At 46.9% G+C, this 16411-nt stretch overlaps 1 protein-coding gene across 33 annotated transcripts in view, besides 5 other annotated features; it reads left to right on the top strand.

Annotated features, from left to right (window-relative positions):
• The window catches only part of DLGAP1 (DLG associated protein 1), a 959276-nt gene that overhangs the window by 826698 nt on the left and 116167 nt on the right, over positions 1 to 16411 (top strand). The gene's annotated exons all lie outside the window — the stretch shown is intronic.
• Positions 2839 to 3410: an enhancer, noted in NCBI's record as "H3K27ac-H3K4me1 hESC enhancer chr18:3625199-3625770 (GRCh37/hg19 assembly coordinates)". NCBI's record gives its function as "activates a minimal SCP1, AML or CMV promoter by ChIP-STARR-seq in naive H9 embryonic stem cells {active_cell/tissue: H9 hESC(naive)}" and the evidence as "EXISTENCE:reporter gene assay evidence [ECO:0000049][PMID:30033119]".
• Positions 3575 to 4774: an enhancer, noted in NCBI's record as "P300/CBP strongly-dependent group 1 enhancer chr18:3623835-3625034 (GRCh37/hg19 assembly coordinates)". NCBI's record gives its function as "activates an origin of replication core promoter dependent on BRD2, BRD4, P300/CBP, MED14 and CDK7 cofactors, with strong dependence on P300/CBP, by STARR-seq in HCT116 cells {active_cell/tissue: HCT116}" and the evidence as "EXISTENCE:reporter gene assay evidence [ECO:0000049][PMID:35650434]".
• Positions 3575 to 5130: a biological region, named in NCBI's record as "P300/CBP strongly-dependent group 1 enhancer GRCh37_chr18:3623835-3625034".
• Positions 4446 to 4740: a silencer, noted in NCBI's record as "tiled region #14378; K562 Repressive non-DNase unmatched - State 1:Tss". NCBI's record gives its function as "represses a minimal TATA promoter and a strong SV40 promoter by Sharpr-MPRA in K562 cells {active_cell/tissue: K562}" and the evidence as "EXISTENCE:reporter gene assay evidence [ECO:0000049][PMID:27701403]".
• Positions 4557 to 5130: an enhancer, noted in NCBI's record as "H3K27ac-H3K4me1 hESC enhancer chr18:3623479-3624052 (GRCh37/hg19 assembly coordinates)". NCBI's record gives its function as "activates a minimal SCP1, AML or CMV promoter by ChIP-STARR-seq in naive H9 embryonic stem cells {active_cell/tissue: H9 hESC(naive)}" and the evidence as "EXISTENCE:reporter gene assay evidence [ECO:0000049][PMID:30033119]".

Below are 16411 nucleotides of genomic sequence, written 5' to 3'. Positions count from 1 at the left end.
GGAGGGGTTTGTAACAGGGAAAAGATGCACGGGGAATGTGAACTGCAGGCTCGGAGGCATTCTATAGCTTGGCCTACGTGGTGGTTTCGGAATCTTCATTTTGTAATTATTCTTTAAGAATAGGCTGGGCACACTGGCTCATGCCTGTAATCCCAGCACTCTGGGAGGCTGAGGTGGGTGGATCACTTGAGGTCAGGAGTACAAGACCCCTGGCGGACATGGTCAAACCTCGTCTCTACTGAAAATACAAAAATCGTCTGAGTGTGATGGCACATGGCTATAATCCCACCTACTTGGGAGGCTGAAATAGGAGAATCGCTCGAACCCGGGAGGCAGAGGTTACAGCGAGCCAAGATCACACCACTGCACTCCAGCCTAGGTGACAGAGCGAGACTCCGTCTCAAAAAAAAAAAAAAAAAAAGAATATAGCACAAGGCCAGGCGCAGTGGCTCACGCCTGTAATCCCACCACTTTGGGAGGCCAAGGCGGGTGGACCACTTGAGGTCAGGAGATCGAGACCAGCCTGGCCAACATAGTGAAAGCCCATCTCTACTAAAAATACAAAAATTAGCCAGGTGTGGTGCGCGCCTGTAATCCCAGCTACTCGGGAGGCTGTGGCAGGAGAATCACTGGAACCGGGGAGGTGGGAGGTTGCAGTGAGCCGAGATCGCCCCATTGCACTCCGGCCTGGACAACAGAGCGAGACTCCATCTCAAAAAAAAAAAAAAAAAAAAGGAAGGAAGGAGGGAGGAAGGGAGGGAAGGAAGGAAGAAAGAAAGAAAAAATAGCGGAGGGATTAATTAGATGGGCAGTCCCAGCTACTTGGGAGGTTAAGGCAGGAGGATCACTTGAGCTTAGGAATTTGAAGTTGCAGTGAGATGTGATTACATCACTGCACTGCAGCCTGGGCAACAGAGGAAGACCCCATCTCTAAAAATATATATAGCAGAGAAAGAAGGAATGCCCCACAACTAAATATTATATTACAAGACAAACTACTGTATGTTTTTTCAAATTACAAAAACTACCTGCTCTTCACTGTCTTCCTCCTCAAAATTCTGATACGCCCACCCATTAGAGAAGCATCCGGATAGCGTGTAGGACTGTAGCGTGTGGGAGAAGGACAGGAAAGATGGGGGATAAGAAAGCAAACATATATGCCTAACATTCCTCTATCTCATGGAACTGTACGAAGGAAACTGACAACACATTGGACTGAACAAATTCACTCACTGCATTTGCCTGCCTGGGACTCGGTCAGTGCCTTCCCTGAGCTCAGAAGCCTATAAACTTCTGCAATCTGTTCTTCTCAAGAGCATTGTATTAGTAATCACACACCAGAAACAACTGACAAAAAATTACTAGCACTAGGCCAGGTGTGGTGGCTCACTCCTGTAATCTTAGCACTTTGGGAGGCCAAGGCGGGAAGATCACTTAAGCTCAGGAGTTCAAGACCAGCCTGGGCAACATAGTGAGCCCTCATCTCTATTAAAAAAAAATTACTAGCACTAATAAAATGTTAGCAGTACTTTCATGAGACCATGTAATTCTTTCAGGTACATTGTTAATGACCTTATTGAAATATGACTCATATGTCATAAAATCCACTCGTTTAAAGTGCACAATTCAGCGTTTTTTGTGTGTGTGCTCACAGAGTTGTACAACCATCACCACAGTCTTAGCTTCAAATATTTTCTTTTCTTTTTTTTGTGAGACAGAGTCTCACTCTGTTGCCCAGGCTGGAGTGCAGTGGCGTGATCTCAGCTCACTGCAGCCTCCGCCCTCCCGGGTTCAAATGATTCTCCTGCCTCAGCCTCCCGAGTAGCTGGGATTACAGGTGCACGCCACCACAATTTTTATATTTTTAGTAGAGACAAAATTTTTCCATGTTGGGCAGGCTGGTCTTGAACTCCTGACCTCAAGTGATCCGCCCACCTCCACCTCCCAAAGTAGTGGGATGATAGGCATGAGCTACCACATCCAGCTTTCTTTTCTTTGCTTTTTTTTTTTTTTTTAACAGGTTCTTGCTCTGTCACCCAGCAGGGTGGAGTGCAGTGGTGTGATCTCGGCTCACTGAAGCCTTGACCCCCCACATTCAAGTGATCCTCCCACCTCAGCCTCCTGAGTAGCTGGGACTACAGACGCCCACCACCATGCCCAGCTAATTTTTGTATTTTTTGTAGAGACTGAGTTTTGCCATGTTGCCCAGGCTTGTCTTAAATTCCTGGGCTTACGCAATCCTCCCACCTCAGCCTCCCAAAATGCTAAGATTACAGATGTGAGCCGCCATTCCTGATCTTTTTTTTTTTTTTCTTTTTTGAGACTGGGTCTCACTCTGTAGCCCAGGCTGGAGTGCACTGGCGCGATCACTACTCATTGTAGCCTCAACCTCGGGCTAAAGTGATCCTCCCACCTCAGCCCCCCAAGTAGCTGGCACTACAGGGATGTGCCACCACGCTGGGCTAATTTTTTTATTTTGTAGAGATGGGTCTCCCTATGTTGTCCAGGCTGGTCTTGAATTCCTGGGCTGAAATGATCCTCCTGCCTCAGCCTCCTAAAATGCTGGGATTACAGGTGTGAGCCATGGCTCCCAGCCACATTTTCATCTCCCACAAACCTAGGCAAGCACAAGTCTACTTTCTGTCCCTCAGAATTAATTTATGCTTTTGGAAAATGAATAAATGTAGGCATGCATGAACAGAGATTTGATCATATCCTTTGAAAAAACTATTCAACTCCCTGGGTCAGGGGAGGTTAGTTCAACATTGGTAGTTCAAGGAATTTGTGACATGCCAGAAATTAAGAACTCAGGTTGAGAACAGTGATAGTTGCATTGTGTTAAGATGAAATTGATATTTATGATTTCCTTTTTTTTTCTGTTTTACAAATGCTTTCTGAACTAACATGATGTACTAATCTCTAAGAAAAATAAGCCTAATTGCCTCTCACTTAGATTGCAATCATGAAGGTCTAATTTTTCTGTAAGAACATTACTCTTCTTAGATTACAACATATTCATAAACAAAACCCCAAAAAAGGCATGCTTTGGGTTTAACTGCCTTAAAACAAGCCATTTTCTATTGTGAAAGCTTGAAGTTGTCCAACATCTAATCTCCTAGAAAATAATTTGCTAATTTGCTTCGATTTTTCTGTTTGGGGCATTGCGTGAAGTGGTGCCTCCTTGAAGAACTTCACACACACAGGAAGCAGTTCCACTGCAAGGTGACTCACCTGAGGAGGTCTCTCCTTCCCTCCATTAGCTTCCCAGCCCCCGCAAACACACACACAACCTCTCACGGGGTGGGAGGACAGAAACTGTCTGTGCAACTGCACAGAGATCTTGGCCACCTAAGCAAATAGGTGGAGTGTATCCATACCTGATAAAACTTTCCAAATAGTCATAGAATTTGGCAGTCGTAACATCACTGGGCATTTAATGACTAGGGCTTCATCTCTATGAAGGGGGCTGTGAAGCCTGCTCGGGAGAGAGGAATGAGGGACCATCTCCTTAGAGAAGTGGGTGGGTAGAAATCATTTCTTATACTTGGCAGGGGTGGAGGACAGCCTCCATGAGTCACGACTCAGGCGTTTAGGGACTTGTGGCTTGGGTTTTTCCCTTCTGCATATTGTGTGTGTGGTAGGTAGACTTTGCTTCTGGGAGCATCTGCGGGAAACCGCTATTTTTGGTTCTTATGAGAGGCAGGAAGAGCGTTCAGTGAGTACTACCTGGGTGGGTCTTAGTGGTCTATTTCTTGGAGTTTAGATTAGTTTGCTCTTGAGATTCCCCCTGGGTGCATATGGCCTAACTCAGATGTGATATGATCAAACCTTCCCTGTAGCTAAGCAGAAAAAAACAAAATAAATTTGAATTTAAAAGGGGATGGGTATGCTCAGTCTGTTTTCCCTCTTCTTTATCATGACTTTTGGGGATTTCTTGAATCTTAAAAAATTGAAGTCTTCCAATGGGGAAAAGTAAGTAGGCTTTTCCTTTCTAAGAAGGGTAATGCTTAACATTTGTGGGATTTTGGTGATAAGTTTGCTACAAAACTACTCCTACAGTTCAGAGAAAATGACGCGGCAGAAATGAGCTGCCAGCAGGGCCAGGCTGTCGGCTTTGAAATTCCAGAGGCCTGCCCAGCCCTTTTGGTTTCCTGGAATGCTTTCATTCAGTCGTCATGCGGTAGGTGAGGAAAAACCCTGCAACATCAGTGTTGAGCTGGAAGAATATCTCATCTGCCGTCAGGGGACAGCGGCCCAGGGCGACAGGCACACATCCCTGCCTGTGCTCAGCGGCACAGTCAATGGACCGCGGGGCAGGGGCACGCAGGCTCGCCCAGCAGCAGTGTCAGACCTATGCGCACAAACAGACGGTTCACGCCCAGGTCACAGGCGCCCGTTGTCTCCTGGCCAGAGGTTGACGCACAGGCCAACCGTTGGACAGGCTCATGCTCTGTGTCATGAGAAAGGTGGAGCAGAGGTGACTCAGGGAAAGGCTGCTTTCCCCTAACACTGGCATTTGATTAATCTCATCTCAAATGCTGTCACTCACCCAGAAAGGGCCTAAATGTGCCTTACTTCCGCTGCTGGAGCGGTGGAATGTGGCAGCAGCTGTCTGGATGATGTGGAAGCCCAGCACGAGGAGGAGGGAGGAAAAGTACCAGATCCCACTGAACCGGTCAGATGAATGCAGGCAGGAGGGGAAACGGGCATCCGCACGGGGACCGGCCACATCCTAAGGCTGGAGGCTGCCCTGATGAAAAAGGCCCATTAGCAGGGAAGCAACGGGAAAAGCATTTTCTAGGGGGGTTTTCCTTTTTTTTTTTTTTTTTTTTTGAGACGGAGTCTTGCTCTGTCTCTCAGGCTGGGGTGCAGTAGTGTGACCTCGGCTCACTGCAAGCTCCGCCTCCCAGGTTCAAGCGATTCTCCTGCCTCAGGCTCCTGAGTAGCTGGGATTACAGGCATGCGCCACCACGCCCGGCTGATTTTTGTATTTTTAGTAGAGACACATTGGCCAGGCTGGTCTCGCACTCCTGACCTCAGGTGATCCGCCCGCCTCAGCCTCCCAAAGTGCTGGGATTACAGGCGTGAGCCACTGTGCCCGGCTGGCTTTTCCTTTTCACACGGCCTTGAAGAACTTCAAGAAGAGTTGTCATTAGCAGAACCTAAGACGGACTGAATCCCTTGTGTAGGTGAATTTGTGTCTAGGACCTCTTATACATGCGAAGCCTGGAAATGGAAGATAATGTCAGGGCTCGTGAAAATAATCATAGCTATTAATTATGACATGTCATTAACCACAATTAATTGCATTAATAGGATTAAACATTTACTTTGTTCCAGGCCCTGATCTAAGACTTTTTCCTTGATTATCTCATGTGATCCTCTCAACAACTCTCTTAAATCAATGCTTTTAGCATGCCTGTTTCACCAGTGAGGACATGGGGACACAGAGAGGCAGCACACAAGATCACCCAGCTGACATGAGGCCATTCCAGTACTGAAATCAGGCCAGGCTGGTGGCTCACGCGTGTAATCCCAGCACTTTGGGAGGCAGAGGCAGGCGGATCATTTGAGGTCAGGAGTTCAAGACCAGCCTGGCCAACATGGTGAAACCCCTTCTCTACTAAAAATACAAAAATTAACAGGGCATGGTGGCACATGCCTGTAGTCCCATCTACTGGGGAGGCTGAGGCACAAGAATCACTTGAACCTGGGAGGCGGAGGTTGCAATGAGCCAAGATTGTGCCACTGCACTCCAGCCTGGGCGACAGAGAGAGACTCTATCTCAAAAAAAAAGAAAAAGAAAAAAAAAGAAATCAATGAATGTGTAATTTCAAACTCCAGGCTGTGGCTGGAAGGGCTGACCTCACTCATGTTTTCAAAAGTGATTATCTTTCCGCTAGCCAAGTTAGGATTGCCTCTGGCAAGCAAGAAATTGGGGAAAGATGAGAGGAAACAGCCCCCTTCTGCTTGCCCCAGTCTGGGACAGTGGTGTGGCAGTGCATGGCTGTCAGCCTGGATCTTGTCCTGTGGACACAGGCACAGGCTGGGTGAAGGAGGCCAGACTTGTGGCCACTTGGAAGCCGAATTCTGGACTCTCCCTCCTCCCACATTCCCCAGGGGACAGAGCCAATCTTTGAGAGAGTAACTTTCCCCATCATTCCCAGATCCCAAGCCAAGCATGAATCATGAAATAATCAGCTTAGGACGAGTGCAGTGGCTCATGCCTGTAATCCCAGCACTTTGGGAGAATGAAGCAGGCAGATCACGAGGTCAGGAGATCGAGACCATCCTGGCTAACACAGTGAAACCCCGTCTCTACTAAAAAATACAAAAAATTAGCCGGGCGTGTTGGTGGGCGCCTGTAGTCCCAGCTACTTGGGAGGCTGAGGCAGGAGAATGGCATGAACCTGGGAGGCGGAGCTGGCAGTGAGCCAAGATCACGTCACTGCACTCTAGCCTGGGCGACAGAGCGAGACTCCATATCAAAAAAAAAAAAGAATCAGCTTAATTGTAGAGTCAGTGGGTACACACACAGCCAACATACACATACACTACCCATACGCACATCAGAGGCTCCACAGGTACCCTCTGTTGGCAAAGCAGCAGCCCAGGTCACTTTTAACTTATGTATTTATTTTGTAGAGATAGGGTCTCACTCTGTCACCCAGACTGGAGTGCAGTGGTGTAATCACGGCTCACTGCAGCCTCAACCTCCTGAGCTCAAGCAATCCTTACACCTCAGCCTCCCTACTAGCTGGGATTACAGGCATGCCACCATGCCCAGCTAATTTCTTTTATTTTAAGTTTTTGCAGGGACGTGTTGAAAGAAAAACCTTAGCCAAATTAAGCTTAACAAAGTTTAGTTAAGCAAAGAATGCTTTGCGAATCAGGCAGCCTCCCAAGCCAGGGTAGCTCAGAGAGACTCCAGTGCAGCCACGCAGTGGAAGATTTATAGACAGAAAAAGGAAAGTAACATATAGAAAACAGAAGTGAGGTACAGAAACAGTTGGATTGGCTACAGCTTGGCGTTTGCCTTATTTGAACACGGTTTGAACAGTTGGCCCCCTTTGGCCAAAACTCTCTGATTGGCACAAGAGTAGGTTACAGTGGGTTTATACCTCCATTTAGGTTGTATATAGTTCACTATGTACAGAGAAACCTTTAGGCTGAACTTAAAATATGTAAGGAGGCCACTTTAGGCTAAACTTGATTTAACAGACAAGGTCTCACTATGTTGCCCAGGCTGGTCTCAAACTCCTATCCTCAAGCCTTCTTCCCGCTTCAGCTTTGATGAACCTTAGGAGGGGAGGTCATTAGCAGAACCTAAGATGGATTGAATCTCTTGTGTAGGTGAAATCTTGTATAGGATCCTTATATGTCAAGCCTGGAAACAGAAGATAATGTCAGGGCAGGTATAATAATCATAGCTATTATTAGCAGCCTCCCAAAGTGCTGGGACTACAGGTGTGAGCCACTGAACTCAGCCCCAGGTCACTTATCTTTAAGGTGAACCTTAGCATGCCTCAGAATTACCAGAAGGACCTGTTCAAACACAGGGTGCTGGCCCCACCTCCAGAGTTTCTGACCCAGTAGTCCTGGGTGGAGCCTGAGGATTTGACCCACGTGTTCCCAGGTGCTGACACTACTGGTGGGAGACCAACCTCTGGGAACCACTGTTTGAAGGGTGAAAGCTCTAGAAATATGTATAATTTCTGGTCACACATCACTGCCTGTTTAAATGTGATACCAGGCCGGACGTGGTGGCTCTGGCCTGTAATCCCAACACTTTGGGAGGCCGAGGTGGGCGGATCACCTGAGGTCAGGAGTCCAAGACCAGCCTGGCCAACGTGGTGAAACCCCGTCTGTACTAAAAATACAAAAATCAGCCGGGCGTGGTAGTGGGCACCTGTAATCCCAGCTCCTCGGGAGGCTGAGGCAGAAGAATCACTTGAACCCAGGAGGCAGAGGTTGCAGTGAGTTGAGATCTTGCCATTGCACTCCAGCCTGAGCGACAAGAGTGAAACTCCATCTCAAAAATAATAATAATAATAATAATAATAAAATGTGATAGCAGTTGTTCTCGAGGATTTTCATCCTTGCAGCCTGTATGCTTTCCTATTGCTGCTGTCACCAGTTACACCCACAAGCGGAGTGGCTTTACACAACACAGATCATCTCACTGTTCTGGAGGTCAGAAGTCAGAAATGGGTCGGCAGGGCTGCTTTTCCTTGTGGAGGGCATAGGGGAGAATCTGTGTCCTTTTCGGGCTTCTAGAGGCTGCCTGTGTTCCTTGGCTTAAAGCCCCTTCCTCCATCTGCAAAGCCAGCAGCAGAGGTGCATCTTCAACCCCTCTGCTCCTCTCTCGCACACACACACTTCTGCCCCCATCATCACATCATCGTCTTTGTCTCTGACCCTCCTGCCTCCCTCTTATAAGGACCTCACGATGACTTTGGGCCCATTCAGGTAGTCTAGGACAACTTTTCCATTTTAAGATGCTTACTAACATCTGCCAAGTCCTTTTTTTCCCTAGAAGGTAGCATATCCACAGATTTCAAAGATTAAAAGATGGGTGTCTTTAGGGACCATCCACCCATCCTACCACCTGCTTAAACTCCAGCAGGTGGCCAGGCATGGTGGCATGCACCTATAGTTCCGGCTACTTAGGAGGCTGAGGTGGGAGGATCCCTTGAGCCTAGGAGGTCAAGGCTGTAGTGCGCAATGATGGGGTCTATGAGTAGCCACTGCACTTAAGCCTCGGCAGCATAGCAAGACCTCATCTCAAAAAACAAAAAACAAAAAAAAACCAACTCCGGCAAATATCCTTCCATCCCATATCTCCCACCAAAAAAAAAAAAAAAAAAGGAAAAAACTAAAAGAGCATCAGGATTTGCATGACGCTAAGTCAGAAGGTAAAGCCAAATTTTCCCCTTCTTCTGACTTACCTGATAATAAAGCAGTGTCGCAGGACGGGGTGGTGGGAAAAGTCAAAGAGACTGGAAGAAGAGGAGAGAAGGAAGGACTAGGGCGGCTAGAAGAGGGAAGGGGTTAGTGACTTGCATCAATATGGGCCTCTTGACCATGCACCAAACACCTACTCAGTCTCCCTGCTACTTTCTGGACTTTCTAGGACTGGAACCCTGGTCCCTTCCCTTTTGAGTCAAGAGACCTTAGTGACCCCACTAGACTTGCAGGTCAGCAGCGCCCCTGCCCAGCCCCCAGCACTGCTTTACCATCCTGCCTGCAGGCCACCTGGGAAAGATGCAGAAAGAGAAACTGCGCTAAAAGGCTAGACTCTTGCATGTTGAAATTTCTGCTTATTACCTTTGGAATTTTTCTGAAGTCCCAGCCTTAAGGCTGTGAATTCTCTGTTTGTGGGTATGTTAGTTTGCTAGGGCTGCCATAACTAAGTACCATAGATGGGGTGCCTTAAACAACAGAAGCTTATTTCCTCACAGTTCTGGAAGCTGGGAGACCAAGATCAAGGTATCAGCAAGGTGGTTTCTTCTGAGGCCTCTCTCTGTGGCTTGCGGGTGGCTGGCCTCTCTCTGTCCTCACTTGGTCTATGCACGTAGGTCCTGCTGTCTCTCTTCTTAGAAGGACGCCAGTCATATTGGATTATGACCCTAATGACCCAATTAACTTAATCATCTCTTTTTTTTTTTTTTGAGACGGAGTCTCGCTCAGTCACCCAGGCTGGAGTGCAGTGACACGATCTCGGCTCACTGCCAGCTCCGCTTCCCAGGTTCACACCATTCTCCTGCCTCAGCATCCCGAGTAGCTGGGACTACAGGCACCCGCCACTTCACCCGGCTAATTTTTTTGTATTTTTAGTAGAGACGGGGTTTCACCGTGTTAGCCAGGATGGTCTCGGTCTCCTGACCTCCTGATCCGCTCGTCTCGGCCTCCCAAAGTGCTGGGATTACAGGCGTGAGCCACCCTGCCCGGCCCAGAACTGCCTTGTCATAGCTATGTTGGGTTAGGGTTGGGAAAAAGGCAGAAAAGGTCAAAGAAGCCTCCAAAAGCCCAGGCTTAACCTGTGTAAGCAAATAGCAACATTTATGGCTAGCAGTCACCAGTGCCAACTCCCTGCAGGTTATTTATTTGATGCACAATTCACAGCTATTCCCCTAAATTCCACCAAGTCCATACACACCCTGGACACAGTGGAAATAAAGGAGCAGCCAGTGAGTGTTTGTGTCGGATGTTCTTTGAAAGGGCTGTTTGACAGAAATGATTTCATTCTCAAGGCATGGCTTTGATACGGAAGTCAAACAGCCCGCAAGTTGAAACAAACCAAATAGCCTTATCTTATTATTGATTCATGGGTTTCTCTCTCTTCAAAGCCCCTTAAAGGCCGGACTCTGCGAATTGTAACTTGTTAGAGTAATTGCTGTTGCAAAGTCCTTCCTGGAACAGGTTGTGTCTTTGACTTACAGGATCTGAATTCTCTGACATTTTTCCTTGATAAACCTTTGTTAGACTCTGGTCAAACTCACTAGCCAATATAGGTTTAAATACAGGCACACATTGTTTAATTGTGCTTTTCTTTCTTTCTTTCTTTCTTTTGAGATGGAGTTTCACTTTTGTCACCCAGGCTGGAGGGCAATGGCACGATCTTGGCTCACAGCAACCTCCGCCTCCCGGGTTCAAACAATTCTCCTACCTCAATCTCCTGAGTAGCTGGGATTACAGGCGCCTGCCACCACGCCCAGCTAATTTTTTTGTATTTTTAGTAGTGATGGGGTTTCACCATGTTGCCCAGGCTGGTCTCGATCTCCTGAGCTCAGGTGATCCACCCGCCTTGGCCTCCCAAAGTGCTGGGATTACAGGAGTGAGCCACCATGCCCGGCAATTACACTTTTCTTTATCAGGCCTTGCAGATGTGTTTTTCACAAATCAAGGGTTTGTGGCAACCATGCATGGAGCAAGTCTATCAACACCATTTTTCCAACAGCATGTGCTCACTTCATGTCTCTGTGTCAGCAGTTTTCAACAATTTTTTTTTTTTTTTTGAGATGGAGTTTCACTCGTGTTGCCCAGGCTGAAGTGCAATGGTGGGATCTCAGCTCACTGCAACCTCCACCTCCCGGATTCTTCTGCCTCAGCCTCCCAAGTAGCTGGGATTACAGGCGCCCACCACCACGCCCAGCTAATTTTTTATATTTTTACTAGAGATGGGGTTTCACCATGTTGGTCAAGCTAGTCTTGAACTTCTGACCTCAGGTGATCCACCTGCCTTGGCCTCCCAGAGTGCCGGGATTACAGGTGTAAGCCACTGCCCCCAGCCAGCAGTATTTTTTGTTTATTTTTAATAGAAAGATCAGGTGATTGGGCTCAGGCCAGCCTCAGTTTGAATCCCATCTCTGCCACTCACTAGTTTGGGGAAAATGTTCTGTTTCTTTCTATGCAACGGATCACCCCCAAAACTTAATGTCTTAAAGCAATCATCTCATCACTTCTCAGTCTCTGGGGGTCAGGAATTTGGGGAGAGCTTTGGCGGGGTAGTTCTGGCTCAGCATCTCTCCTGAGCTTGCAGTCTCTCCAGGTGAGGGCTGGAGCAAGTGGGGCTGGCTGAGCATCTCCTACAGTTTCAAGGCTTTTCAGGTGGTCTTTCACATGGACTCACTTGGGCTTCCTTACAGCATGGCAGCCTCAGGACAGCTGGGCTACTTATGTGCTGACTGGTAAAAGTTACATCACCTGTTCTGATCTAGCCTCAGAGGTCATGCAGTGTCACTTCCTTCCAATTGTCTTAATTATAGGCAAATCACAAACCTCTCGGATTCAAGGAAAAGGGAATTCGTCCACCTCTTTTTTTTTTCCAGTTTGTTTGTTTCTTTTTGTTTTTTTGAGACAGGGTCTCCCTCTGCCGCCTAGGGTGGTTTAAGTGGCACAATCACGGCTCACTGCAGCCTCGACCTTCTGGGCTCAAGTGATCCTCCAACCTCAGCCTCTGGAGTAGCTGGGACTACAGGTGCACGCCACCACAGCAGGCTAATTTTTTTTTTTTTTGTTTTGTGGAGATGGGGTTTCACCATGTTTCCCAGGCTGGTCTCAAACTCCTGGGCTCAAGGGATCCTCCCACCTCAGCCTCCCAAAGTGCTGGGATTATAGGTGTGAGCCACTGCACCTGGCCTAGACTCTACCTCTTGAAGGGAAGCAGCAAAGTTCTAGAGCACAGATTGGCAAACTATCGCCCTCAGACCACCGAATGGGCTCACCTCTCAAACACAAACAAGGCTGTACATGTACACATCGCCCAGGGCTGTGCCACAGTGATAGAGTAGTCAGGTCAGACAGCGAATGATCCACACATCCTAAAATACGTGCTGGATGGCTTTTAACAGAAAAAGTTTGTGAACACCTGTTCTAGAAGGACATGTCAGATGGAAGATATTGTTGCAGCCACTTTTGGAAAATGCAGTCTCCCGAGGGCTGGTTACCAGCCTGTCAACTTTAGCTGCACCTCTAAATCTGTGAAATGGAATAATAATCCCACGTACAAATTACTCAGCAGAACTCTATGCCTGTGACAGGCAAAGTATACAATTTCATTTCTCCTTCCTGGGCTTCATTATGATTTGAGAGCCACAGAAAGGTCTTAGCTGCACTATGGGTCTGTTAGCAGTGCCAGAAATTCCCCACTTTAAATATCCCTCGGAGTTAAGGCCAACTTTATAGAAACCTCCCTTTTAAAATACACATTTCTTACCCTTGAGGGAAGAAATGTTTGCAAAAATTCCTGCTAAAATGCCCCCTCCCCACCTAAAATGCATTCTCTTATCAAACTAGCTAAATTTTTACCTCTCAAAGGCAAGTGTCTCAGGGAATGAGAGAGTGAGTTAATTTGGGCTGGAGCCAGTTGGGGGAAACAGGCTGTCAGGGTGTCTCCAGTTGCCTACAGAGACAGACTTGAGAAATTTTAGCTACTGCACAAGTGTGCCCAGGGCTCACTGCTTCAGACAAAGCAATGAAAAATGCAGCTTTCTTGGCCTCCCCCATCTCCATCGGCTCCATTTTCCTACTGGCCAGACTTGCTTCAATGCCCTCTCTGCTGTCAACATCTCCCTTGGGTGTTTTCTCTCCTCACCTGGGCGTGTCCAAGGCCAATCCTCCAGCAACCCCTGAGATTATCTTCTTGTGACCCAGTTTTCCTCCCTGCTGGAAATTCAAAAAAGGTCGTCCTGAAGCCTATTTGTTAACAGGCATCTGTGCTCTTTCTCTTTAGAAGTGAGTTTCTAGTCAAGAAAATAGAGGCTCCCCAATCAGCACCAACTATGTGGTAACAATACACCTTCCAGTCCCAGCTTTTCTACTCATTTACTCAAATACCACCAAAATTATCAACTCTATTTATGCATCTTTTTAAAAATTATTTTGTCTGCTGGGCACAGTGGCTCATGCCTGTAATCCTAGCACTTTGAGAGGCCGAGGCTGGCGGATCACATGAGGTCAGGAGTTTGAGACCAGCCTGACCAAAATGGTGAAAACCCATCTCTACTAAAAAATACAAAAATTAGCCAGGCATGGTGGCGGGCGCCTGTAATCTCAGTCACTCGGGAGGCTGAGGCAGGAGAATCACTTGAACCTGGAGGCGGAGGTTGCGGTGAGCCGAGATCGTGCCATTGCACTCCAACCTGGGCAACAGAGTGAGACTCCATCTCAAAAATAAATAAATAAATAAAATAAAAATAAATTATTTTGTCTCCTCTCCAAGTTATGTTTGACTCCAATAACTTTTTTTTTTTTTTCTTGAGACAGAGTTTCACTCTTGTTGCCCAGGCTGGAGTGCAGTGGCACTATCTCGACTTACGGCAACATCTGCCTCCCGGGATCAAGCAATTCTCCCGCCTCAGGCTCCCGAAACTGGGATTACAGGCCTGCACCACCACGCCTGGCTCTTTTTTTTTTTTTTTTGTATTTTTAGTAGAGGCGGGGTTTCTCCATGTTGGTCAGGCTGGTCTCAAACTCCTGACCTCAGGTGATCCGCCCACCTCGGCCTCCCAAAGTGCGGGAGACTCCAGTAATTCTTAAAATCTACTTAGCTTCACCCTACGCTATAATGAAAGAATAGTTTCTTTTTGATACAGCTATTTGCCACCATGGTATTTTCATATCAAATATTATGAGTGTTTTGGGGATGGTTGAGAGGGGAAGTGTGCAATTTATGATTAGAGATCATTTCTTTTGACCCATATTAATTTTTACAGCATTTTCTCCCTTTCTACTCAGCCTAAATGTACATTTATGCAAATTGTATATAATACTTTGCGGTATCCCAGAACCCCAGTTCAATATTGGCCAAGGCCAACACAACTTATGCTGTTCCAGGAAGAATTGTGGTTTGGAAATGTTACTCAGCTGGAGCCAGAAAAAAGTGACAACTGGCCAGGCACGGTGGCTCGCCTGTAATCCTAGCACTTTGGGAGGCCGAGGCGGGCGGATTGCCTGAGCTCAGGAGTTCGAGACCAGTCTGGTCAATGTGGTGAAACTGTCTCTACTAAAAATACAAACTTTAGCCGGGTGTGGTTGTGGGCACCTATAATCCCAGCTACCTGGGAGGCCGAGGCAGGGGAATCGCTTGAACCTGGGGGCGGAGCTTGCAGTGAGCTGAGATCGCGCCACTTCACTCCAGCCTGGGCAAAAGAGGGAAACTCCATCTCAAAAAAAAAAAAGTAACAACTGTTACTGGGTAGCTGCTGTGGCTTCTTTGCCTAGCATCTGCATAGCACTTTGCAACTTACAAAGGGCTTTTACATATTTTAAGTCTTTAATATTCACTGTAACAGCCATCCTGTAGTTATTGTCCCATTCCACAGATGGTAATAAAATGAAGCATAAAACTGTATTGCCTTTGGACACAGACCAACCAATTTATACCCAAGGTCTGTTAACTCATCTGGGCGTTAATTGTTCATAAATTCATACTTCCTAAGAGTACTGGGCACTGGACACTGTGGGCCAACATTGCTTCCTAGCCAGGCTCATGCCTGTAATCCCAACACTTAGAGAGGAAGTGGGAGGATGGCTTGAGCCCAGGAGTTCGAGACCAGCCTGGGCAACACAGGGAGACCCCCATCTCTGCAAAATTCAAAATTAAAAAATTAACCAGGAATGGTAGCATGCACCCATGGTCCCAGATACTCAGGAGGCTGAGGCAAGGAGGATCACTTGAGCCCAGGAGGTTGAAGCTGCCGTGAGCCATGATTGTGCCACTGCACTCCAGCCTGGGCAACAGTGAGTCCCTCTGAAAAACAAACAAAACAAAACGGAAGACAATAAACCATTGTTTCCTTTACTCCTTTCTCCAGAATGCTAACTTTTTTTTTCCTGAGAAGGGTTTTATATCTAATATTACTTATGAAGTGAGGTGCTACCAACAATTCATGTAACCTGAAAATTTGTCTTCAAAAACCTACTTCCTAATCTAATTCCTCTTACATTAGCAATAGAAAATGGACTAAAAGGCCAGGCGTGGTGGCTCATGCCTGTAATCCCAGCACTTTGGGAAGCCGAGGCAGGTGGACCACCTGAAGTCAGGAGTTCAAGACTAACCAACATGGTGAAACCCCATCTCTACTAAAAATACAAAAAAATTAGCCGGGCATGGTGGCGGGCGCCTGTAATCCCAGCTACTCAGGACCTGAGGCAGGAGAATCGCTTGAACGCAGGAGGCAGAGGTTGCAGTGAGCCAAGATTGCACCATTGTACTCCAGCCTGGGTGACAAGAGCAAAAACTCCGTCTCAAAAAAAAAAGGAAATGGACTAAAATATTGTGATAGACTTGAAGATATAGCTAACACAAAGGTTTTGGTTGTTTTATTTTTACATCAGCAACCATCATCTGAGAATAACTAAAAAATGTGTATGAAATGATTGGTCAATGTTTCAGAACTTCTTTTATGAAACTGTAATTCAAAGGTCCTATGAAGTCAGAATTTTGAGTGTGTTACAGGGATTCCACTAACGAATGAACTGAACAGCAGAGTTGCAGCCTGTGATTCTGTTGTTTCATTGTACACCACCCGCCTGGCACTAAACTAGATACTGGAGACATCTGGTTGCCATGGATACGGGATGGCATCATCTGACCACGTTGGTGTAGAAGTTAGCTTCAGATGTTCTCAGACCTTTCACAAGGGCCACGGGTCCCCTGGTTAAAATGAAGGGATTCCCCTTATGGAACTGTTGATGGCTGTTGTTACTGTATGCCATTTACTGAGTTAATACACTGAGCATTTCCCATATATTGCTTCCTTTCAGCCTCTCTACAACCCTATAAGGAAGTTTTTCATTCTTATCCTCATTTTAGACAATAAAAACCAGATGTTTATAGAGATTCAGCAACCTTCCCTAGGTAACACACTTTTAAATCAAGGTCGGCCTCCTGAACTTACATTATTTT

Source organism: Homo sapiens, chromosome 18, assembly GCF_000001405.40.
Source record: "Homo sapiens chromosome 18, GRCh38.p14 Primary Assembly".
In the NCBI taxonomy this organism is placed as follows: domain Eukaryota; kingdom Metazoa; phylum Chordata; class Mammalia; order Primates; family Hominidae; genus Homo; species Homo sapiens.
This window is presented reverse-complemented; position numbering and strand designations above follow the sequence as displayed.